The sequence below is a fragment of the Homo sapiens genome, chromosome 13 (genome assembly GCF_000001405.40).
Source record: "Homo sapiens chromosome 13, GRCh38.p14 Primary Assembly".
Taxonomy (NCBI): Eukaryota; Metazoa; Chordata; class Mammalia; order Primates; family Hominidae; genus Homo; species Homo sapiens.
The window spans coordinates 96,021,337-96,047,485 of NC_000013.11; the positions used below are offsets into that span (position 1 = coordinate 96,021,337).

General features: G+C 38.8%; 1 protein-coding gene across 9 annotated transcripts in view, besides 1 other annotated feature; it reads right to left on the reverse strand.

Moving 5' to 3' along the window:
* UGGT2 (UDP-glucose glycoprotein glucosyltransferase 2) overlaps window positions 1–26,149 on the reverse strand; it is a 251,822-nt gene that overhangs the window by 219,757 nt on the left and 5,916 nt on the right. For all 9 annotated transcript variants that reach the window (XR_931617.2, XM_047430471.1, NM_020121.4 and 6 more), the window contains exons 2-4: window positions 10,553–10,635; window positions 2,293–2,423; window positions 1,704–1,816 (exon numbers count right to left, since the gene is read on the reverse strand). Coding sequence is in view for 8 of the 9 variants with exons in the window: in XM_047430471.1 (XP_047286427.1) it covers window positions 1,704–1,816; window positions 2,293–2,423; window positions 10,553–10,635 (327 nt within the window). In the remaining variant the exon portion in view is untranslated. The remainder of the gene's footprint in view (window positions 1–1,703; window positions 1,817–2,292; window positions 2,424–10,552; window positions 10,636–26,149) is intronic.
* Window positions 20,202–20,791: an enhancer, noted in NCBI's record as "OCT4-H3K27ac-H3K4me1 hESC enhancer chr13:96693792-96694381 (GRCh37/hg19 assembly coordinates)". NCBI's record gives its function as "activates a minimal SCP1, AML or CMV promoter by ChIP-STARR-seq in primed H9 embryonic stem cells {active_cell/tissue: H9 hESC(primed)}" and the evidence as "EXISTENCE:reporter gene assay evidence [ECO:0000049][PMID:30033119]".

A 26,149-nucleotide genomic window follows, 5' to 3' on the forward strand; every position in this document is an offset into this window, starting at 1 on the left:
ATAAAAGTTGACATCAGAAACCAATGACAATAAATTTTAAACATTACAAAATTTCCTTTAAAAGATGCACTAGTGAGTTATATTATAGTGAGTCTAATAATGCCATAAAGGAATAGATAATTCCTATATTAACTCATCCAGAATAAGAATAATATGGCTGCCTAATTCACTTTACGAAAGTAGAATGACCGATAAAAATTAAAGATGTCAAATAATTTCAATAAATGTACAGCTATTCATTTATTAACACAGAAACATGAAAACAAAATGAAAGCAATCTTAATTCAAAAGCAAATTAAGATAATCCCACACCATTAATAATCAGTAGTTTTCCTCAGAATTGAAAAGAAGGTATAATATTTCAAAGTATTTTGTAATATATTAGTATGTCCAATGAGAAAAACCTTGTATCCATCCCAATAGTTGAAAAAATAATTGATAAAATAAAGCAATTATTTCTGCCTTTAAGTTTTAAAAGCAGGTGTGAACAGAGAAACATGCCATGTTATTTGATAAGAGATTCAATACAACACAGATGTAAATTTTTCCTAAATTAACCAATACTTTTAACATAATTCTAATTAAACCCTAACAAGGCTTTTGGGGAAGGGGAGCTTGGGGAGGAAAAGGATTCCAATGTTGACTTAAAAGCATCAACAAATACAAGGAGCTAAGGCATTCTGGAGGAAAAAAGAGCCACAATGAAGAAGAAATCCTCCTGTCAGAAACTGGATAATAAAGCAATAAATATTAAAACAGTATGGCACTACTATAAGAAATAGATAATGGAGCAGAACAAAGAGCTATGAAATAGACCATAATATAAATATAATGAATACAATTGACTAGGTACCTGAGGAAAAAAATCTGGTTGGATTCTTACCTTTTGATGAAAATAAATTACAGATAGATTAAAAGTTTAATGTAAAATAAAAGGAAAAACTTTTAGAAAGCTACAGAAAGAATTAGTAAAATCTCCCAATCAGGTTCGGGAAAAACTGTTAGTATAAAAACAATATAAAAGTCACATACACAGGAAAATTTGGCTACATAAAAATAAAAGTCTTTTGTATATGAAATTCAATACAAGTATAAGAAAATGTTAGAAATGGTTTGTTAACAAGTGAGTTAAGTATTAATATGCATAAATATATATTACTGTTTAATAGAGCTCTTTCAAAATTAAAAAAACTACTTTATTATTTTTTAAAGTATAAATAATCAGGCAAAAAAAATATACTGGTAGTATTACTCTAAAAAATCACTAATAAATTAATAATTTACTTCTGATTTGCCATTTTTTAAATTAAATACTTGCAAAAAAGCAAAAAAATAGTTTTGAATATAGGAAGCAACCTCATCTATTGTTTTGATTACTTTGTTATTCCCCAGGTATATATTCAGTTTATATTTAAAGAGCTATAGGCCAAATAAACTCAGTTTTGCATGTTTATTTCAAAAAACAAGTTATGCTTATATGAAACATTTCATACATTTTATGTTATTTTGGCACAATTTATATGCTAAAATCAAAAGCTAATCAAGACAAAACATTCTCAGATATATTACGGTTTTCAATACAAATCACATTCTTGAATATACAATGTCTTAGAATATTAAATTTTTTTTATTATAAGAAGTTTCTGCTATTGAACTCTCCTCTCTATAACCACTTCTTTCATTATAGGCTATTATTAATTTACCTTGAAGCAGCTTTCTTCAGCAGCTTTTTAATCTCATTAATTTTACAGGTGTGCTTCTTATGAATAACCACAAATGCATTACAACCATCTGGTGGTGGCTCATCAGCTGCAATCTAAGATTTCAAAGATTATATTTAGCTACAGCAGTTGATAATTACAATATGATTTTAAAACCCTCACACATTACTTTGATTAAAATAACTCATCAACTACTATTAAGTTATTGCTCTAATTAAAGTAAAAAAACATCTATACGTAGGTAGAATCTAAGAAATATTTTAATAAAATCAACTTTATCCTAGGAAAGACATGCTTCATAGTTATTGAAAAAATTCTATTAAAATTTTATGATACTTCATTTCAATTATTTGTCCTCATAATTTCCTTATCCCAAATAACTATAAAAATTACAGAATATATTCAATTACATTATAATAAATGACAACAATAATAATATAATCAATGATAGGCTATGGAACCAACTATAAACTTGTAGATCATTTTGAACTAAAGATGTTCATATTAAAGAACTCTATGTACATTGCTAGCGTGCCTCTTTGTCAAATACAGATTGGGTATTTTTACGCACCTGCTGAAACATCTGAATAGCTGGGGAGTATGCCCTTATAGAGAAAGCAAACTTTAAAAGGTTGATGTGTAAATTGTCTAGAAACTGTCCAGCTTTCTTCAGGATTAAGTTGTAATAAGAATAATCTGATTCTATAAAAAGAAGTCAAAAGAAAATAAATGTTAGCATTTTATACACTGCACATTGGCACATCTTCCACTGTAAGGCTAACTTAATGTCATATAATCATATCTGAAGTTTGGTTATGGATAATGCTAGAGAAAAATGGAAAAATCAAGATCTCAGTTCTATAATCAACTTCATTTTGGATCTTCCAGTAATGTCCAAGTAATCAACATGAGACCAGGTGAAAATAATCTTGCCATTAAAATCTATTTGGAAACACCAACATTTCAGACCAACTTACTCCAAAGTTGTGGGGTTATATTACAAGGATAAGATATAAGTCCTACCTACAAGGTAGAAATTAAGAACAGCAGAAAAGTTAAATAATATGATTGTTAATGAATTTTAAAGTACCTGTATGAATAAATTCTACTGAGATTTAGTGCCAATAGCCAAGTATAATTAGTGTATCCAGAATACTTTTAGGAGACAAAATTTGAACCAGGTCTTCAAAACTAAATGTCATCTTGTCTGGAACTTGAACAAACTAACCTGAGCTGCGAGTTGCCTACTATAAACCCTATTCAAAGAACTCAAAGACATAAAGGAGAAGGAGGGATCCTAGAATTTAATTAAAAATTCTCCAACACCCCTGGGGAGACAGAGATCACTTGAATGGGAGAAGGCAGAAAAGTGCAGCCTAGAGCTGAAGAAGACCTGGTGGCACTAACGGGGATAAGCAGGGGTGGGCAGAACTTTCTGTCTGTGCCCTTTTCCTTTCTCTACTCTTCCCTGGGTGTAACCATTGACTGCATTGTGTCAGAAAACTGTAATGTCATTCCAGGGCCAGCCAGAGATGGTAAGGTAATAACAGGGCAGCTCTGGAGTCCATTTGGTATAGGCATCCATAGAGGCTGGCCTCTAGACATTCTCTGGTAATTTATTCTCCTCTACATCTTGGCACTGGGTTATCAAGTGATGGAAATTTCTCATACAAAAGAACAGAGTTGAGGTAGATGAAGAGCAGTTCCCTGTGGATATCTGATGTGAAAGGGATAACAAGAAGAATGTGGTTACACCAGACTGCAACACCAGATACTCTCTTTCTGAGAGGAGGAAAAGGATGTTCTGACTGGAAGCAGACATTTTGGGGTTGGCTGGAAGACTGGGTTGTTTGCTGATTGTGACAATGTTTACTATTTGCTCCGAAAGTGCTGGGCCCTTGACCCTCAGTTCCTCTCTTTACCACAACCCATTCAGGGTACAGGTGTTATCTGGCCCTCCAAGTTGTCCTGTGGGAACTGAGGCTCAGGCAACCAGTGCAAATATGGGACATTGTGGTTATTGCTTTTGTTATATGTAATAAAGCCTTCTTCTGTCTCTGAATCAGGGGTTTCAGGTCATCTGTCAGCATCCATGAAACTAATCTGTTATCTTTGCAAATAGGGTAACATCTCAGACCCTTCACAGTACTTGACAGATCTGACAACAAAATGGAATGCTGACAAGATACGTGGATTTCTGGAGAATAAAAGACCCAGTCCCATGGTCCAATTAATAGGATTTGAGGAGAGTGCTTGAGAAGTAATAGTGGATATTCTGACAAAACTGTACAGTCAATCAGGCAATGAGTCATCTTAATTTTGCTGCCTATTAATGAAGAGAAGAAGAAAAGGTTATAGGCCAAGGGAAATAAGTTCAAAAATATCTCCCAAACAATGTCTTAGTGGCACCTTATGACTAAATTCCTCCTACAGTCCAACTTGCCAATATTAGATCCTTTCAAAGATGACAATAAAAAGTCTCAGAGTTTAGTTCAATAGGTCCTGGCTGATATAAAGAAGCTATGAATCACTCAGGAGATTTCCTCTAGTCAGTTATAAAGTCTTTCAGCTCTGATCCAAGAGTCTTATGTTGTCCATCTGATTCCTGAAACTGTGGCAAGCTAAGTTTTTAGCTTGCAAGCAGGGTAAAAATTCCAGCCCCTTCACAGCTCTTGACAAAAAGCTCAGAAATGAGATGACCAAAAAAAGAGGGAGATATGAGAAGTTTCCTGAAAGAATACAAATAAGAACTAGAAAGAAAATAATACTAGAAAATACAGATTAAATTAGAAGGAGCACAAGAGTAAAGAGACACTGTGGAAAACAGTAGGAGAAACAGAATATGCAGAGGAAAAGTGATAAAAATGAAACAAATAAAAAGGAGAGAAGGGAAAAATGACTTGAGAGTAAATGACAAACACAGAGGTCAGGCAAAGGAGATTAATATATGTATACTTGTAGACCCTAAGGCAGAAAATCAAGGGAATGGAACAGAATAATTAAAGAAAACTATAATCCAAGAAAACTTTCCAGAATTAAAAATAATGAACTTACATACCTAAAACAAAAAAGACACAGAATGATCAGCATTGCAACATTCTCTAGTTTAAAAAACAAACAAACAAACAAAAAACAACTCTGGGGCTCTAAAGTTAAAAATCAGAAGTTTCGAATTCACACATGAACAATTAAGTATGTGAAGAACTCAAGGGCTATTTTTCCAAGAGTTATTCATGAGGCACCAACCAGAGAGCAAACTTTATATAACCAAGAAATAATTGGAGAAATTGCAGCATAAAGTCTGATTGTGAGCTCTATACCATCTCTACATCAATTCACAAAGAAGTCATTAAAAAGTATTGGTATAATTGTTTAATTTGGTGCCTCTTATTAAGCTATAAACCATGAAGGAAAGGATCTTTTCTATCATAGTTTTTCAACTGTACATTTCTACTCCTGGCATACAAAATAGACATTCAATAAATTTCTTTAATATTTAATAAATATTATAAATAAGTTTCTTCATTCTAAACAATATTTTCCTAATCCAGTTGCTTTAAACAGTTGACATATGAGAATAAGCATTGCCTCTTTCACTCTTCTTTTTTTTTTTTTTTTTTTTTTTGAGACGGAGTCTCGCTCTGTCGCCCAGGTCGGACTGCGGACTGCAGTGGCGCAATCTCGGCTCACTGCAAGCTCCGCTTCCCAGGTTCACGCCATTCTCCTGCCTCAGCCTCCCGAGTAGCTGGGACTACAGGCGCCCTCCACCGCGCCCGGCTAATTTTTTGTATTTTTAGTAGAGACGGGGTTTCACCTTGTTAGCCAGGATGGTCTCGATCTCCTGACCTCATGATCCACCTGCCTCGGCCTCCCAAAGTGCTGGGATTACAGGCGTGAGCCACCGCGCCCAGCCCACTCTTAATTCTTTAACAAACTATAGATGATTTCTCAGAACTTGGGAGATATGGTGAGTTTTCCTCCAAGAATCAAAAAATAATGCAAATAAGATTCGTGTTCAACAGTAAAAGCAAAATAGAAAATAAATGTTATTTTAAATAATATTCTTAAAATACTTATAGTTACAAGGTCAGCAAGAAAATAATAAAAATTAATGTAATGACATCTAAAATATGACTACATCAGTCAAAGGACTGGTCACCCAGGGAAGCAGAGAAAAGTCAAAAGAAATGTGAGTAGTGCCTGACAACAGATACCAAATTTCATCAAGGTCACCATCAAGGTTGTCCCTTATGTAGTAATGAATGTAGGATTCAGGAGTTTATAGAAAGTAAACTTTTATAATTTAGATGTAACTAGCAAGATCATCTCTATTATGAAATGGATGCATTGGGCTATTTTGGCTGATTTGTTAAATAACTAAATCCATGCTCACCAACCACCTGCTAAAAATGCCCCTTCAATATTTTCTGCCTTTATCTTCAACCTCAGCTTTTACTCAATTTTTGACTACTGGCACCTAATATTCAAAAATCACTCTTATTAAAAAAAATAAGTGGCAGCCTCCACAGACAGCTACTGACTCATCTTATTCCCTTCATAGTCAAAGGTCTTAAAAGACTTAACGACACGTAGCTCTACTGGAAGGGGACATTTTGGGGGTGGTTGGAGACTGGGTTATTTGCTGATTGTGACAATTTGACAAGAAACTCAGAAATTAGATAACCAAATAACAGAGATATGAAAAGCTTTACTCACATCTTAACTTACTAAAGTCTTGATTACTATACCAGTGAAATGGTTCTCACCAAAGGCACTAATAATTTCTCTGTTTTTAAAAGTAGTAGGTGCATAATATTCATATTACTTGATCTGTCTACAGTATTTGATAACAGCAATCACTTACAACTTAATATTCTCCTGGCTTTCATGATCTAATACTTTTACAGGATTTCAGCTACCACTACAGGTACTCTTCCTTAGTCTCCACTGTGTGCTGTTCTTCTCATCAGATTCCCTTAAACATTGCTGTTCTCAGGGTTCTGCCACTGGGCACTATTTTATTCTCATTCTGTGCCTTCTCCCTACAACTTAAATTACCGTTTTTCATATTGATCACTCTGAAATCCTACCCTTTATCCTATAATTTATTTTATCTAGATCTCTCACTCATATATCAGCTTACCGATATATTTATATTTGGATATTTCACAAGCATTTCAAATGTGGCACGTCCAAATTCCAATTACCTTCTTCCCCCAAATCTGGTTCTTGGGTAAAAGTAACTATGTTAGAAAGCCTTAACATTTTTTGAAAATTTCTTCCATTAATAAAATACAAAAGCAACTTAATTTGTGTAAAAACCACTAAAATCTTCAAGGACTTTGAAAATGACATTCTTATATGCTGAGCAGCATGTGAAGAAGTAAAAATAAACAGGCATTTGGAAATCAGATAAATCTTGGGTGACATTTCTCACCTCACAAAACTACATAGGTTAACTAATATGCCACTTGAATCTTGAAGCATCAATAAATATGTAAGTCTGGCAGAACCATATAAATTTTTTTAAACAGGCAATTCATTGCTTAAAAAGTCTTAATTTGCTGGCATATAATATAAAGTAATTGCATTAAATGGTATAAAACTAGTACTTGAATTCAAAAAGTTAAATGTTCAATATTTACAATTTTTTTAGGCAGGTGGATCACTAAGACATGCTTTAGTAAAGAGTATTTAGAAGGTCTCATGGAGATTCAACAACCTAAATTAGTACAAGTAACAGAGGATTATTAAATGTTTCCTCTAAGATGTCTTGAAAACAAATTCAGTAAAATCTGCTCATTAGGCCGGGCACGGTGGCTCACACCTGTAAATCCCAGAACTTTGGGAGGCCGAGGTGGGCGGATCACGAGGTCACGAGATCGAGACCATCCTGGCTAACACGGTGAAACCCCGTCTCTAATAAAAAAAAAAATACAAAAAATTAGCCGGGCGTGGTGGTGGGCACCTGTAGCCCCAGCTACTTCAGAGGCTTAGGTGGGAGAATGGTGTGAACCCAGGAGGCGGAGCTGGCAGTTAGCCGAGATCATGCCACTGAACTCCAGCCTGGGCGACACAGTGAGACACCGTCTCAAAAAAAAATCTCTGCTCATTATTTCTCATTTGTACCATTCTTTTCCACATTTAACAAGGTCAGCAATAATATCACCACATGCATTAGACTCTGCCATTATAAATAAAGCCAATAGAATTATATTTTAAGTGTTATTTATTTATTTATTTTTTTGAGTCAGAGTCTCACTCTGTTGCCCAGACTGCAGTCCAGTGGTGTGATCTCGGCTCACTGCAGCCTATGCCTCCAGTGTTCAAGTGAGTCTTGTGCCTCAGCCTCCCGAGTAGCTGGATTACAGGCCCGCACCACCACGCCCAGCTAATTTGTGTATTTTCAGTAGAGACGGGGTCTCACAATGTTGGCCAGGCTGGTCTCGAACTCCTGGCCTCAAGTGATCTGCCCACCTCAGCCTCCCAAAGTGCTGGGATTACAGGCATGAGCCACTGTGCTGTGCTAGTAATTCCTACTTTAATACAATTTAGGTTCAACCCTGAAAACACTTGAAATACCTCCTTCCATATATGCTTGATGTAGAGTTTAGGTACTCCTGAGCTTATATTCCAGCTTGTGAATGATCTGCCACCAGATTGTCCAGGTATATCATTTCATTTAGGTATAAAATATGCTGATATATTTAAGTAACTTAAAATGAATTTGAAATTTACAGGAGTAATTTTTAAGATTGCGTCTCCAATAAAAAATAGCACTGAATAAGGCCAAAAAGCATGTACTGAGAACAACATATATGGGACAGATATATTGAGGATTTTAGGTGAGAGACACGAAATTTGGTGTTAGGTTTTTTTAAACTATCTTGGATACTTGACATTAACCATGAAAACCTTACATATTAATCTAGCCTACTTTTACCTCAATCACCAAAACTATTAATAAAATTACTAGGACAAATATGAGGACAACAGACAGTAATTTCCTAATGATTTGAAAGTAAACATTACTAAGTGATCGAGGTTCCTCCACACATTCCATTCCGGTCTCTTCTACTCATTTGTGTTCCCTACTCCCTGGCTAAATCTCATCATTCAAACTCAGCTCCAGCATTCAGCACTGAAAATCCTGTCTTGCTCTCTCTGGAACACTGACTAGGTGCCTCTTTTATGTGTTTTCATGTTATGCATGACCCAATTAAAGCTCTTATCGCCTAATAGTGTACATCACTGTTTTGCTGTCTCCTTCATTGTTTCACAAAGTCCTGTGGATGTAGATCCCATTTATTCATCTTTGTATTCCCATCATCTAAAGTACCTCCAGCATTTCTTATGACTAAAAAGCTTTTTCAGGAAAAAATTTTGAAAGGAAAAATTATTTGCTTTTGGAAATATTTCAGTTTAAAATGTTATTAAAAGCATGTCTGATCTCTTTATTTTTAAAATCTACTTTGTGAAATCACAAAATCACTGAACTTCAAGGCTACCTGAGCCAAACAGGCTTCAGTAAATGAGCATTTAAAACATCTGAAACTTAGTTTATCTTACATTTACACTCAGGAACAAAATAATAAACTATTTTAATCACCAATAGTAAGAAGATGTCTCTATATCTAAATGGCTGAAGATTTTACTCTTAAGGGATTCCATGCTCATGTCATCTATTCTAGTCTCTGCAGAGATAGGAAAATAATAAACACATTAATAAACACTTTTTAATTCTGAGGAAGATATACGTATATATAGGTATATACTCTCATATACATATAAAAACAGAAATTACTATCTTACAAATAGTGAAATGAGAGCATATTAGTTACCTGACTTTTTGAGGTATTAAAAGTTTCTTTAATGGTTTAAGAGTCAAAGTATTCTGCCAATAAAAATGCAATATACGTGTCAGTATACATTAGTCCAAACCCATAGAACGTATAACAGCAAGATTGAACCCTAATGTAAACTATGGACCTTGCGTATTAAGGATCTGTCAAGGAAGGTTCATCAACAGATATATATGTACCACACTAGTGAGGGATGTTGATAACAGGGGAGGCTATTTATGTGTAGGGGAAGGGGGAATATGGGAAATCTCTGTACTTTCTGTCCAATTTTGCTATGAACTTAGAACTACTCTAAAAAAATTAAGTCTACTTTTAAAAAAGAAAAAAATGTACTATTACTAGATGCAAAATTATTACTTCAAAGAAATCTAGGTAAAAAGAAAACTATCTTAATTTTTTTGGGGGGGGACAGGGGAGACAAGGCCTCTCTCTGTCGCTCAGGCTGGAGTGCAGTGGTACAAACACAGCTCAAACTCCTGGGTTCAAGTGATCCTCCACCTCAGTCTCACAAAGTGCTGGGATTACAGGTGTGAAACACCACACCTGGCCAATTTATTTTATTTTTTTATTTTTCTTTTTTAGAAACAGGGTCTTGCTATACTGCCCAGGCTAGTCTCTGACTCCTGGGCTCAAGCAGTCAATCCTCTGGCCTTGGGCCTTCCAAGTAGCTGCTACTACAGATGCACACCACCATGCCCAGGTAACAATTTTGATTTCTTCTTGATGAGAATGCAATATCCAAACATGACTAATTATATGAGGTATCTTATAATAAAGTATTAAAACCTTGTATTTTTGGAAACAGATGCTTAGAATGGTTTCTATTAAAACATATTTTCAAATTTAATGTTCGGATTTACTAACCCAGTGAAGCATTCACACTTAACCATTACCATTAAAAAATAATAAACATTACAATGTGTGTACATAAATACAAATCTTACAAGTTAAAATTTACATATCACCTACCTGTTTGCTTATAAATTGCTAATTCTTGCACAGTTTCCAAAAACTGCCAAAATTTTTCATTACTTTCTTCTGCCATAAATTCACTATTAAAAAAATAGAAGTAATCGGTTAGTAGATGGAATTTAAAATGGTTTAGATACTATAAACTGTACTCAAGAACCAAATTATATCTATGGCAAAAACAAAAACCCCTAAAAATTAATGTCAAATTACTAATTTCCATTTACTATAACACTGGAAAAAAACACACTGACTATTCTTACCTGAGATATCATTCTCAACTATAAACATATAATCATGTCAGGAAAAGGCTTCATGAGAAATTACCTTTGGCTTTTCCTTGTTATTAGCAACAACTAAAAAATTGATAGTTTATTCTATCTTGCCATATGAAATGCCACTGAGAAATACAAAAATTATAATTAAGATAGAACATTATATAAAGGTAAAAAGTAGAAAAAAAAGACCACCTGTTTCATAAACAAAAACTGGTTCTATAAATATTTTATAGAAGTTATATTATCTATTGCCTTTACTTGTGTAGAAAATCTTTTTTATTATTTAAAACAGAAAAGATCTTAATTTTAAAAACAGGAAATCAGTGTACTGCACTATGTCTTTGGCCATAAAGCCCAATGAAATTTTCATGGTATTTAAGAAAAAATGGCCAAAGCCATTTAAAGCCTTTCAGAAATAATGAAATAAATGAAAGATTTAGTTCTGCACAGAACAAAACACTAGAGAGCTAAAACAAATAGGGTTAAATATTTAAGCTAGAAACAAAACAGCCACCATACACATGGTGCTGATTATTTGTTATTGCCCACCTTACCTTTCTCTCTAGGCTTGGTAAACTTAAACTAATGCTTAAAATAAATGGAAAGTATTGAGAACATCCACAACACATACAGATTAACTAATTCTTGTGAGTCTGACATGGCCACTAAAAAGGAAAAAGGAAGTCAGAAAGACTGATTAATTCATCAACATAAACACGACAAGCATAGGAATTTAGAGTAATAAGTAACTTCAAATCAACACTGGGCAAGGCTTAACTGATTTGACCAAACAGCTACAGACATGCTCATATACTGTGCAACCACAGGTAAAAACTTCTTCCAACTACCAGAATCTGTACATCTAACTAAGTCTGATCCTTCAAAGTGATCGCCTTAAGAAAGTGTTCCAGCTAACAAGGGAAGTGAAGGACCTCTTCAAGGAGAACTACAAATCGCTGCTCAAGGAGATCAGAGAGGACACAAATGGAAAAACATTCCATGCTCATGGATAGGAAGAATCAATTCTGTGAAAATGGCCATACTGCCCAAAGTAATTTATAGATTCAATGCTATTCCTAGTAAACTGATGGCAGCAGTGACCTGTCTAGAGTGGCAGCTGCAAAAACGCCAGCTGTAGCAAGGGAGATATGGCCAGGGTTGTGTACTCCACGGAGCTGGTGGGAGCAAGGAACAGGTGGAAGCCCCACCCACTTCTGAGTTGGTAGGGTGGAGGGCCCGCACTCCCCAGGTGCAGCTGTCCGGACCCGGACATCCCTGTGCTTTTGGGGGCTGAAGGCAGGTAGGAGCCCATGCCTCCTACTGAGTTGGCGGGGTGGGAGCCCTGCACTCCCTGGGTGCAGCTGCAACCACCCAGCTGCAGCTGTGGACCAACGCATCCCTGCACTCTCAGGGGCCTGCAAAGCCCCCTGTCCCAACACAGACTTGAAAGTGCCTGCTCCTGCTTCCTGGCCTCTTCTCTGCTCCCAATCCCTGCTTCAATTTCGGAGCAAAGTTGCACCTGAGCCTAGAAGCTGCCACAACCCGGCTGGTTGTACATGTTTGGGGTAGTGCTGACATGCCAGCCCCCTACCACCTCAGCCCCCTCCAGACTTTGGGCACCAATGGGCATGGAAGGGAGGCCAAGAGGGCCTGGGAGCAGCTTGGCACAGGCCTGAAAGGTGCCCCATGACGCGAACTGCCTGGGTGCCATGGACATGGTAGATGGCAGGTTAATGGTGGCAGGGAGCAGATGGGCAAAAAGGGATGGGTCCCCGGTGAAGCCCCACCTTCAAGCTAAGGACAACCTGAAGCCTGGGGGCTGGGCTACCTCTTCCATGGACTGCAGTGAGAACGTACGGTGTTTTTGTCCCGGCCTACCCAGGGCCTCCCATGGACGAGTCAGCACACACTTACCCCCCTCTGAAGCCCATAAAAACCCCAGACTCAGCCAAACTCAGGCAGATAATGAGATGACCTGCCTGTGGATAGGAGCTACCCATTCCAGGTGTCCTCTCCCAGACATCGGGATGACCTGACTGCAGGTGGAAGGTGGCCACTCCATTTCTCCTCTCAGCTGAGGGCTGCAGACTCAACAGAATGACCTGCCTGTGAAAAGGAGCTACCCACTCCATGTCTCCTCTCTAGTGACAGCTGCGCTCATCAAGACGATCTGCCAGCAGAAAGGAGCTACCAACTTCAGTTCTCCTAAGAGCTGTACTGTCTCTCAATAAAGCACCTCTTTGCCTTGCTCACCTTCCAGTTGTCTACATGCCTCATTCTTCCTGAACATGCAACAAGAACTTGGAACTCACCAAATGGCAGGACTGAAAGAGCTGTAACATGAACAGGGCTGAAACACGTGCCCCACTCACCACATTGCAGGCAATGAAAAGGAGAGAAGAGCTGCAGCCCTTTGGGGAGCCCAGACCTACAGGCTCCCTGAGCCAGAGCTGTGACACTCACTCTCTTTAGGGCTGTGTGGTTCCTGGTATCTCCAAGCTTCCAGGTGCCACTGCATTCCACCACAGTGCCTGCAGTGGAAGCCACCTGCAGTATGCCTGGTCGAGCCACAGTCTTGTACAAAGCTGGTGCCTGTGCCAGTACCTGGAGCTGCCCACCCCACTGCAGCTGGCACTCCTGGCTGTGCGCAGTGGCCGGACCCTGTGCTTGCTCACACACTCACCGCCGCCCTGCACCTGGCTCCCCCTTGGCAGGTGTGGGATCCAGGCCAGTAACACAAGCCGAGCATAGCCTGCCAGGCCGAGTGGACAAAAGGAGCACAGCAGGCCCGAGCAAAACTAGGGCAAAGGTGCTACCAGCCATAGAGGTTTCCGGCTGGCAAAGCCAAAACCCTTATCACGGGATCCTTATCCTGTGACAAAACTACCACTGACATTCTTCACAGAATTAGAAAATATGAAAAAGAGCCCAAATAGCCAAGACAATCTGAAGCAAAAAGAACAAAGCTGGAGGCATCATGCTACCTAACTTCAAACTATACTACAAGGTTACAGTAACCAATACAGCATGCTACTGGTACAAGGACATACACATAGATCAATGGAACAGAATAGAGAACTCAGAAATAAGACTGCACACCTACAAGCATCTGATATTTGACAAACCTGACAGAAACAAGCAATGAAAGGATTCCCTATTTAATAAATGGTTCTGGGAGAACTGGCTAGCCATATGCAGAAAACTGAAACTGGACCCCTTCCTTACACCTTATACAAAAATTAACTCAAGATGAATTAGAGACTTAAATGTAAAACCTAAAATTATAAAAACCCTATAAGAAAATCTAAGCAATACAATTCAGGACATAGACACAAGCAATGATTTCATGACAAAAATGCCAAGAGCAATTGCAACAAAAGCAAAAATTGACAAATGAGATCTATTTAAACTAAAGAGTTTCTGCACAACAAAAACTATCACCAGAGTGAACACACAACCTACAGAATGGGAGAAAATTTCTGCAATGTATCCATCTGACAAAGGTCTAACATGCAAAGTCTATAAGGAACTTCAACAAATTTACAAGAAAAAAACAAACGACCCCATTAAAAAGTGGGCAAAGGACATGAATAGACACTTATCAAAATAAAACATTCATGCGGCCAACAAACATGAAAAAAAGCTCCACATCACTGATCATTAGAGAACTGCAAATCAAAACCACAATGAGATACCATCTCACACCAGTCAGAATGGTGATTATTAAGAAGTCAAGAAACAATAGATGCTGGCAAGGTTGTGGAGAAAAAAATGCTTCTACACTGTTGGTGGGAACGTAAATTAGTTCAACCATTGTAGAAGACAGTGTGGCAATTCCTCAAAGATCTAGAGGCAGAAATACCATTTGACCCAGCAATCCCATTACTGGGTGTATACCCAAAGGAATATAAATCATATTATGAATATACATGCACACATATGTCCACTGCAGCGCTATTTACAATAGCGAAGACATGGCATCAACTTATATCCCCATCAATGATAGACTGAATAAAGAAAATGTGGTATATATACACTACAGAATACTATGCAGCCATAAAAATGAACAAGGTCATGTCTTTTGCAGAAACATGGATGGAGCTGGAAGCCATTATCCTCAGCAAACTAATGCAGAGACAGAAACCCAAACACCGCATGTTTTCACTTACAAGTGGGAGCTGAATGATGAGAACACATGGACACATGGGGGTAACGACACACACTGGACTCTGTTGGAAAGGTGCAAGGGGACGGAGAGCACCAAGAAGAAAGTTAATGGATGCTGGGCTTCATACCTAGGTGATAGTTTGATCTGTGCAGCAAACCACCATGGCACACATTTACCTATGTAACAAACCTGCACATCCTGCATGTGTACCCTGGAACTTAAAAGTTCAAGTAAAAAAAAAAAAAGTATTCACTTAAAAGTTATTCCCTCAATACATCACTGCTCTAAGCACTTTTGGAACTCTTCTGGAATCTCAGAGGCCATTTACTGGTAACTCATTATTAATCACTGAAGAGCAAACATCCTTGAGACCATCTAAACCAGTTCTGCACCTGGTAAAAGGTAAGATATTACCTTTGAACAACATTTTTGTTTGTTTGTTTAAGACAGCATCTCCCTTTGTCACACAGGCTGGAGTGCAGTGGTGCAAACATGGCTTACTTTAGCCTGGGAGGTCTCAAGCGATCCTCCCACTGCAGCCACTTAAGTAGTTGGGACTACAGGCACATGCCACCATGCCCAGTTCACTCTTTTGGACAAAGTTTTTTTAAAGGTAACAAGCTGGCATTTGCAATTGTTCACTTGCCTTACAAAATATATGGCTCAAAATAAGTGTATTTCTTCAAAAAATTCTACCCAGAGAAAACAGTTATTTCTACAAAGGGTGTTTTTATACGCACTAAAGAGTTTGACAGTAATTATAAGTGGAATTTCAAAAATATTTTCAGTCAGATCAACACAAGTAGAATAACTGCAGTTCAGATGTACAAATTAAGGTATGCATACTGTAAAATGCTAGCCTCTTCAGCCTATAACCACCTCTAGCCAGAGTCTTGCTCTGTCGCCCAGGCTGGAGTGCAGTGGTGCGATCTTGACTCACTGCAACCTTCACCTCCCTGGTTCAAACAATTCTCCTGCCTCAGCCTCCTGAGTAGCTAGGATTATAGGCATGTGCCACCACACGCAGCTATTTTTTGTATTTTTAGTAGAGACAGGGTTTCACCATGTTGGCTACGCTGGTCTCAAATTCCTGACCTCATGATCTGCCCGCCTCGGCCTCCCCAAGTGCTGGGACTACAGGCCTGAGCCACTGCGCTTGGCCGCAAATTTTATTATACTATAAATTTCTTTATACAGGGGACATACCTTATTCATCTTTGTTTCCTACATAAGACTATACTCAAGTTATGCACTCAAATTTCCAGGATGAACTGAAAAATATCTGTGTGTGTGTGTATGCATTTATAGATTTTGGTTGGGAAGCTCAATTTTTGGATTTAAAGCATTATTCTTAAAAATTTCCCTCACTTGCTCCCACATTATTTTCCTTAAGTTCCTATCTGCCCAGCTCCTTCAACCTATTCAATGCTCTTCAATTCTTCCACTTCCACACTTACTCTTCTCAACCTCTTTGCTTTTCCTACAATTTTAAGAGAAACATAAACAAATTGAAGGAAAGCAGAATAACGAACTATATAAAATAAATTTTTTGAAGTGCAGTGGTTGAAGAAACTACAGGCTTTTGGCCTGCTATTCTCACATAATGTGTCACACACAGAAACAGATTTGGTTCTGAAAGAGAGGATCAGTAGATAAAAGGTATAGAGAGAAAGATTTTAGTTTATATAATAAAGGACCTCCTACAATTTTGATTTGTTCACAACAAAACAATAAGGCACATGAGGTAACACTGAGCATCCTCTCTGGATTTTCCAAGGACAAACTAGTTTCCACAAGTAAGGTATATTGTAGAGGTAATTCTGATGGTGGCTTAAAGTATACCTTTCCCTATAAAAAGTACCTTTTGTTGAATTAGCATTACTGAGTACCCAACTTTTGTGCACTGTGCCTTGGCAAAATAAACATGAATAAAAAACAGTTTTGTCTCTGAAGCTCACCTTTTAACAACAGAGATTAGCATATATGATACCTTACAGTAAGGATTATTACAGAAATACTGGCCAAATGCTATGAGAGAATAATAGAAAGTTATTAATTTTGTCATGGGAAAGTATCAGGCAAGATAGAGTAATATGGTATGCCCACAAGTAAGGTATCAATGAGGAAGACTGTAAAAGAATGATATATTACTATCCTAGGGCTACCACACCATTACCCAAGGATCCTCTACACATCTTTCCTGGATAACGCCATGTTTGTACTGGGCTTCTGCTGAGATGGTTGAGTGGATTCATGAATCACAGGTCTAACCTATTCAGCAAGAGAAATTTATTCTCTCATAGTTCTGGAGGCCAAAAGTCTGAAGTCAAGGTTTGAGCAGAGTTAATGCAAAAGATTCTAAAAGCTGCCCTTTTTTTGTTGGGTGCATCATTCAAGCCACCCTCTAGCCCCCAAAGCCCCCAAAATCCACCTCCCCTACATAAAATATATTTCCCTTTGCCAACAACCTCCAAAAACTCAACCAATTACAGCATCAATTCTAAGTCCAAAATCTCATGTAAATATCGTCAACTTCATTTACAAATTTTATCATCTAAATCATGTATGGGTGAGACTCTGGGTATGATCCATCCTGGGGTAAAATTCTCCCCTGTCCACCTGTGAAACTAGAAAACAAGTTATGTTTCCAAAATGCAATGGAGAGACAGGCATAGGATGGACACTCTAATTCCCAAAGGAAAAAAATAGAAGGAATAAAGGGGTCACTGGTCACAGGCAAGTTCAAAATCCAGCAGGGCAAATTTCCATTATGTTTCAAAGCCTGAGAATAACTCTCTGTGGCCTGATGCTTCACCCTCTGTGCTGCCTGCCATGGTTCTGCTTGCAGAGTTATTCTTTCTTTCTTGAAAGGGCAGCACAATGTTTACAGCCAAGTAGCTCTATAGTCCATTTCCTGCCTATAGAATTTTGGAAGTCCAACAGCCTTCTTTCATTTTGTCTTGTCTCTTTCGGTCCAAGCTGACAGTGTTTCTAATACATTCCCCAAAACTTTGTAAGACTATTGTATATTTCACCAAGAGCCACATCATTACACGGATCCTCCCCAGATCCTTCCTGGATATCCCCACCTTCTTTATACCAAGCTTCTGGGGAGATGGTTGAGGGGACCCATGAATCACATGCTTAACCTGTTCAGCAAAAGGTTGTCCTGCCAGGTTTCTGTCTTTCTCTCCAGAGCACACATTCCCAACACTGAGTTTCCTAGTTGTAACACTCTTTACAATCTGGATAGGCTGAGAACCTCCAAAATCATCAAGTGTTGGTTCCTTTTTCCTTACCTGTTCCTTTTTAAATTTATCTCTTTCTTCTCTCATTTTAATATAGGCAGCGAGGAGAAACCAAGCAGCACTTTTAACACTTTGCTTGGAAATCTTTTCAGCTCATATCCAAGTTCACCAGTTTCAAGATGTTTTCCACAAACTGTAGAAACCAAGTCAGCCGGTATTGTATCACTACATAACAAGGGTTACCTTTCTTCTAGATTCCAATATAATGTCTCTCATTTCCTTCCAAGCCATGGCCAGAACAGACTTCAATGTTCATATTTCTACTGAAATTCTCTTCAGGATGATATAAGTATTCTCTATGATGACAGAAGTTTTTTCAACTATGCCCTTTAATCTCTTCTAAGCCCTCAGCAGAATCACCCTTAATGTCCAGATTTCTGAAGTCTCCTCAAGGCAGTCTAGGCTTTTAATACCAAACTTCTCAAAATTATTCTAGCCTCTGTCCAACTCCACAGCTACTTCTACATTTTGAACTATTTGTTACAGCAGCACCCAACTTTTTGGTCCAAAATCTGTATTAGTTTCCTAGATCTGTTTAACAAATTATGAAAAATTTGGTGACTTAAAACAGAAACTTATTCTCTCACAATTCTGGAGGCCAGAAGTCCAAAATCAAGGTGTTGGCAGGGCTGTGCTCCCTCTGAAGGCTCTAAGGGAGACTGTTCCATCCTGGTGGCTTCAGCTGTTCCTTGGCTTGAGGCTGCCTAACTCCAATCTCTAACTTCACATGGCCTTCTCCTTTTTGCCTGTGTCTTCTCTGCTTCTGTCTCTTAAAATGACATTGGATTTGGGGCCCATCTAGATAATCCAAGATGATCTCATCTCAAGATCCTTACTTACATTAACACAGACATTTTTCCAAATAAGGTAACATTCACAGGTTCTGGGAGTTAGGATGTGGACATATCTTTTTGAGGCCAGCATTCAACCTACTACAGATGCCCCTTGACTTAGGGTTACCTCCCAATAAACCCATTAAGTTGGGTTTATTAAGTATTAAGTTGCAAATACTATAAGTAAAAAATGCATTTAATACCCTGGCAAACCCATAGTAAAGTCAAAAAATCCTAAATTGAACCATGATAAGTTGGGGACAATTTGTACAAGTGATGGGGTTTGTAAATCAGACTGCGGCTAGACTGTCAAGGACCTTAAGGAGCATAACACAGCAGTTCCAACTCTAAGACTCTCAAGGCAAATGTAAAGCCAGATACTGTAACAAGCAGTCTAAGGCTGGAAAAAGTTAGACTGATTTGGAGCTAAGTGTGAGATCAGATCTAGGCAAACAGTTAAATACTGGGGAAAGGATAAAGGAAGGGGATCAAAATTAAGCTAGAATCAGGTATTAAATAAAAACCGTTTTAGCCTCCCACTCAAATGGACAGAGCAGCATGTGGAGTCTTGAATTCTGAACCTTTGCTCCAGAACTGCTGCAGGAATAAATTAGAAAAGCCAAGAGAACCCACAGACCCTCTGAAGGAAATGAATTGCTCCTGTAGGACCTGGGAGATACCCCAAATACTCTGAGTACCCAAACTGTGAGAGTGGGAAAGGGGGATTGTCTGCCCCTGAAAACACACTCTCACTGGGGAACCCGAAGGTGTATATCACTGGAGAAGATTCTGACCTTACCTGGGGCTGAGTCAATTTAGAGAGCCAAGCAAAATACAAGGGTAGAGGAAGCAGCAGGAAAAGCCCTGTGGGCTCTCTGGGTCCCCTAGGAAGCTATTTCTGCCTTGCCTCACAGGGGTCCTCGGGTAGGGCTGCCAGAGGTACTGGGAAGAGGCCACAGGGAGAAGGAAACCTCCAGCTGAACCTTGTAACAATTTCAAAGGAACAAGAAATCTCCTGGCCAGAACTTGGGAGAGGGCATGAATCTGGTGTGCAAACTCCACAGGTGGGGAAGCATGAGAGCCCTATTTGCATTTGCAGCTGGGAGGCTGGTAGCCTGGGGCAAGTTCTCAGCCCTGCTCGCCCACCACCTAAGTTCTCAGCCCTGCTCGCCCACCGCCTGGAAACAGACTCAGTGCTGTTGGGTGGGGCACAGAGGGAGTGAGACTGGCCTTTTGGGTTGCATGGGAGCTGGGTGAGGCCTGTGACTGTAGGCTTTCCCCCACTTCCCTGACAACCTGCATGACAAAGCAGAGGCAGCCATAATCCTCCTGGGAATATAACTCCATTGACCTAGGAATCCCACCCCCATCCCCCACAGCAGTTGCAACAAGACCCACCCAAGGACAGTCTGAGCCCAGACATGCCCTAGAAATGCCCCTATCTGATGGTCCTTCCCTACTCACCATGGTAGCTGAAGACAAAGGGCATATACTCTTAGGAGTTCCAGGGCCCACCCACTGCCTGATCCTCCCCATACTACCACAGCTGATGCTCTATTGAAAAGGCCACCTCCCTGCAGAATGCCAACCAGCACAAAAATAGTGCATTAAACAACAAAAAGTAAGGACCCTCAGAGAGTCCATTTCACCCCCCTGCCACCTCCAGCAGAGCAGGTGCTGGTATCCACAGCTAAGAGACCCATAGACAGTTCAGATCATAGGACTCTGTGCAGACAATTCCTAGTACCAGCCTGGAGCCTGTTAGACCTACTAGGTGGCTAGATCCAGAACAATCTCTACAGCTTGGCTGTCAGGAAGCCACATCTGTAGGAAAAGAAGGAGAGTACTACATCAAGGGAACACCTCTATGGGACAAAAGAATCTGAACAACAGCCTTCAGCCCTAGACCTTCCCTCTGACAGAGCCTACCCAAATGAGAAGGAACCAGAAAACCAACTCTAGTACTATGACAAAACAAGGTTCTTTAACACCCCCCAAAAAAATCACACTCGCTCACCAGCAATAGATCCAAACTAAGATGAAATGCCTGATTTACCTGAAAAGAATTCAGATGGTCAGTTATTAAGCTAATCAAGGAGGCACCAGAGAAAGGCAAAGCCCCATTTAAGGAAATAAAAAAAAAAAGATACAAGAAAGGAGGGGAGAAATCTTCAGTGAAATAGATTGCATAAATAAAAACAATCAAAACTTCAGGAAACAATGGACGCACTTATAGAAATGTAAAATAGAGTTTCAGCAATAGAATCAAATAAGCAGAAGAAAGAACTTCAGAGCTTGAGGACACGGTTTTAAAATTAACCCAATACAACAAAGACAAAGAAAAAAGGATAATAAAATATGAACAAAGCCTCCAAGAAGTCTGGGATTATGTTAAATGACCAAACCTAAGAATAATCAGTATTCCTGAGAAAGAAGAGAAATCTAAAAGTTCGGAAAACATATTTGGGGGAATAATTGAGGAAAACTTCCCCACCCTTTCTAGAGACCTAGACATCCAAATACAAGAAGCTCAAAGAACACCTGGGAAATTCAACACAAAAAGATCATTGCCTAGGCACATAGTCATCAGGTTATCCAAAGTTAAGATGAAGGAAAGAATCTTAAGAGCTGTGAGGCAAAAACACCAGGTAACTAACCTATAAAGGAAAACCTATCAGATTAACAGCAGATTTCTCAGCAGAAACCCTACAAGCTAGAAGGGATTGGGGCCCTATCTTCTGCCTCTTAAACAAAACAATTATCAGTCAAGAATTTCGTATCTAGCAAAACTAATCTTCATAAATGAAGGAAAGATACAGTCTTTTCCAGACAAAAAAATGCTGACAGAATTTGCCACTACCAATCCAGCACCACAAGAACTGCTAAAAGGAGCTCTAAATCTTGAAACAAATCATGGGAATAAATCAAAACAGAACCTCTTTAAAACATAAATCTCGCAGGACCTATAAAACAAAAATACAATTAAAAAAACAAGGTATACAGGCAACAAATAGCACAATGAATAGAATGGTACCTCACATCTCAATACTAACATTGAATGTAAAGGGCCTAAATGCTCCACTTAAAAGATACAGAACTGCAGAATGGATAAGAATTCACCAACCATCTGCTGTCTTCAAGAGACTTACCTATCACCTAAGGACTCACATAAACTTAAGGTAAAGGGGTAGAAAAAGATATTCCATGCAAATGGACACCAAAAGCGAGCAAGAGTAGCTATTCTTATATGAGATAAAACAAATGTTAAAGCAACAACAGTTAAAAAAAGACAAAGAGGGACATTATATAATGATAAAAGGCCTTGTCCAACACGGAAATATTACAATCTGAAATATATATGCAATAATGGAGTTCCCAAATTTATAAAACAATTACTACTAGACTTAAGAAATGAGATACACAGTAACAAAATAATAGTTGGAGACTTCAATACTGCACTGATAGCACTAGACAGGTCATCAAGACAGAAAGTCAACAAAGAAACAATGGATTGAAACTATACCCTGGAAAAAATGGACTTAACAGATATTTACAGAACATTCTACCCAACAACCACAGAATATACATTCTATTCATCATCAGTGCATGAAACTTTTTCCAAGGTAGACCACTGATAGGCCACAAATCAAACCTCAATAAATTTAAGAAAACTGACATTATATCAAACACTCTCTCAGACCACAGTGGAATAAAACTGAAAATCAACCCTAAAAGGAACCTTCAAAACCATGCAAATACATGGAAATTAAATAACCTTCTCCTGAATAAGTCAACAATGAAATCAAGATGGAAATTTAAAATGTTTTTGAACCGAACAACAACAGTGACACAACCTATCAAAACCTCTGGGATACAGCAAAGGCTCTGCTAAGAGGAAAGTTCATAGCCCTAAATGCCTACATCAGAAAGTCTGAAGGTGCACAGACAATCTAAGGTCTAACCTCAAGGAACTAAAGAAACAGAACAAACCAAACCCAATCCCAGTAGAAGTGAAATAACCAAGATTAGAGCAGAACTAAATGAAATTGAAACAAACAAAAAATACAAAAGATAAATGAAACAAAAAGCTAGTTCTTTGAAAAGATAACATAAATAGACCATTAGCAAGATTAAACAAGAAGAAAAAAGAGAAAATCCAAATAAGCTCAATTAGAAATGAAATGGGAGCTATTACAACTGACACCACAGAAATACAAAAGATCATTCAAGGCTACCATGAACAACTTTATATGCATAAAGTAGAAAACCTAGAGGAGATGGATAAATTCCTGGAAAGATACAACCCTCCTAGCTTAAATCAGGAAGAATTAGATACCCTGAACAGAACAATAGTAAGCAGCGAGATTAAAATTGTAATAAAAAATTGTCAACATAAAAACGTCCAGGACCAGACATATTCACAGCCAAATTCTACCAGACATTCAAAGAATTCGTACGAATCCTATTGACACTATTCCACGAGACAGAAAGAGGGAATCCTCCTGAAATCATTCTATGAAGCCAGTATCATCCGAATACCAAAACCAGGAAAAAAACATAACCAAAAAAGGAAACTACATACCAATATCCCTGATGAACACAGATGTAAAAATCCTTAACAATATACTAGCTAACCGAATCCAACAATGTATCAAAAAGATAATCCACCATTATGAAGTGGGTTTCATAACAGGGATGGTTTAATATAGGCAAGTCAATAAATGTGATACACCAGATAAACAGAATTAAAAATAAATATTACATGATCATCTCAATAGACGCAGAAAAAGCATTTGACAAAATCAAGCACCCCTTTATGATTAAAACTCTCAACAAAATCGGCATACAAGGGACATACCTCAATGTAATAAAAGCCATCTATGACAAACCCACAGCCAACATAATACTGAATGGGGAAAAGTTTAAAGCATTCCCTCTGAGAACTGGAACAAGGCAACCATGCCCACTCTCACCACTTCTATTCAACATAGTAATGGAAGTCCTAGTCAGAACAATCAGACAAGAGAAAGAAATAAAGGGCATCCAAATCAGTAAAGAGGAAGTCAAACTGTCGCTGTTAACTGATGATACGATTATATACCTAGAAAACCCCAAAGACTCCTCCAAAAAGCTCCAAGAACTGATAAAAGAATTCAGCAAAGTTTCCAGATACAAAATTAATGTACACAAATCAGTTGCTCTCTTATATACCAACAGCGACCAAACTGAGAATCTAATCAAGAACTCAACCCCTTTTACAACAGCTCCAACAAAAATAAAATGCTTAGGAATACACCTAACAAATGAGGTGAAAGATCTCTACAAGGAAAACTACAAAACACTGCTGAAAGAAATCATAGACGACACAAACAAATGGAACCATACCCCACGCTCATGGATGGGTAGAATCAATACTGTGAAAATGACCATACTGCCAAAAGCAATCTACAAATTCAATGCAATTCCCATCAAAATACCACCATCATTCTTCACAAAACTAGAAAAAAAATCCTAAAATTCATATGGAACCAAAAAAGAGCCCACACAGCCAAAGCAAGATTAAGCAAAAAGAATAAATCTGGAGGAATCACATTACCTGATTTTAAACTATACTATAAAACCATAGTCTCCAAAACAGCATGGTACTGGTGTAAAAACAGGCACATAGACCAATGGAACGTAATAGAGAATCCAGAAATAAACCCAAATACTTCCAGCCAACTGACCTTCGAGAAAGCAAACAAAAACAAAGTGGGGAAAGGACACTCTATTCAAAAAAATGGTGCTGGGATACTTGGCAAGCCACATGTAGGAGAATGAAACTGGATTCTTATCTCTCGCGTTATACAAAAATCAATTCAAGATGGATCAAGGACTTAAATCTAAGACCTGAAACTATAAAAATTCTAGAAGATAACCTCAGAAAAACCCTTTTAGACATTGGCTTAGGCAAGGATTTCATGACCAAGAACCCCAAAGCAAATGCAATAAAAACAAAGATAAATAGGAGAGAGGTTCCAAGATGGCTGAATAGGAACAGCTCCAGTCTACAGCTCCTAGCATGAGCGATGCAGAAGAAAGGTGATTTCCGCATTTCCAACTGAGGTACCAGGTTCATCTCATTGGGGCTTGTCAGACAGTGGGTACAGGGCAGTGGGTGCAGCCCACAGAGTGTGAGCCGAAGCGGGGCAAGGCATCGCCTCACCCGGAAAGTGCAAGAGGTCGGGGAATTCCCTTTCCTAGCCAAGGGAAGCCGTGACAGATGGCACCTGGAAAATCGGGTCACTCCTACCCTAATACTGCGCTTTTCCAACGGTCTTAGCAAACGGCACACCAGGAGATTATATCCTGCGCATGGCTTGAAGAGTCCCATGTCCACGGAGCCTCCCTCATTGCTAGCACAGCAGTCTGAGATCCAACCGCAAGGCAGCAGTGAGGCTGGGGGAGGGGCACCCGCCATTGCTGAGGTTTGAGTAGGTAAACAAAGCAGTCTGGAAGCTTGAACTGGGTGGAGCCCACCACAGCTCCAGGAGGCCTGCCTGCCTCTGTAGACTCCACCTCTGGGGGTCAGGGCATAACTGAACAAAAGGCAGCAGAAACTTCTGCACACTTATATGTCCCTGTCTGACAGCTTTGAAGAGAGTGGTGCTTCTCCCAGCACGGAGTTTGAGATCTGAGAACAGACAGACTGCCTCCTCAAGTGGATCCCTGAACCCCAAGTAGCCTAATGGGGAGGCACTTCCCAGTAGGGGCCGACTGACACCTCATACAGCCGGGTGCCCCTCTGAGACGAAGCTTCCAGAGGAACAATAAGACAGCAACATTTGCCGTTCTGCAATATTTGCTGTTCTGCAGCCTCTGCTGTAGATACCCAGGCAAACAGGGTCTGGAGTGGACCTCCAGCAAACTCCAACAGACCTGCAGCTGAGGGTCCTGACTGTTAGAAGTAAAACTAACAAACAGAAAGGACATCCACACCAAAATCCCATCTGTACGTCACCATCATCAAA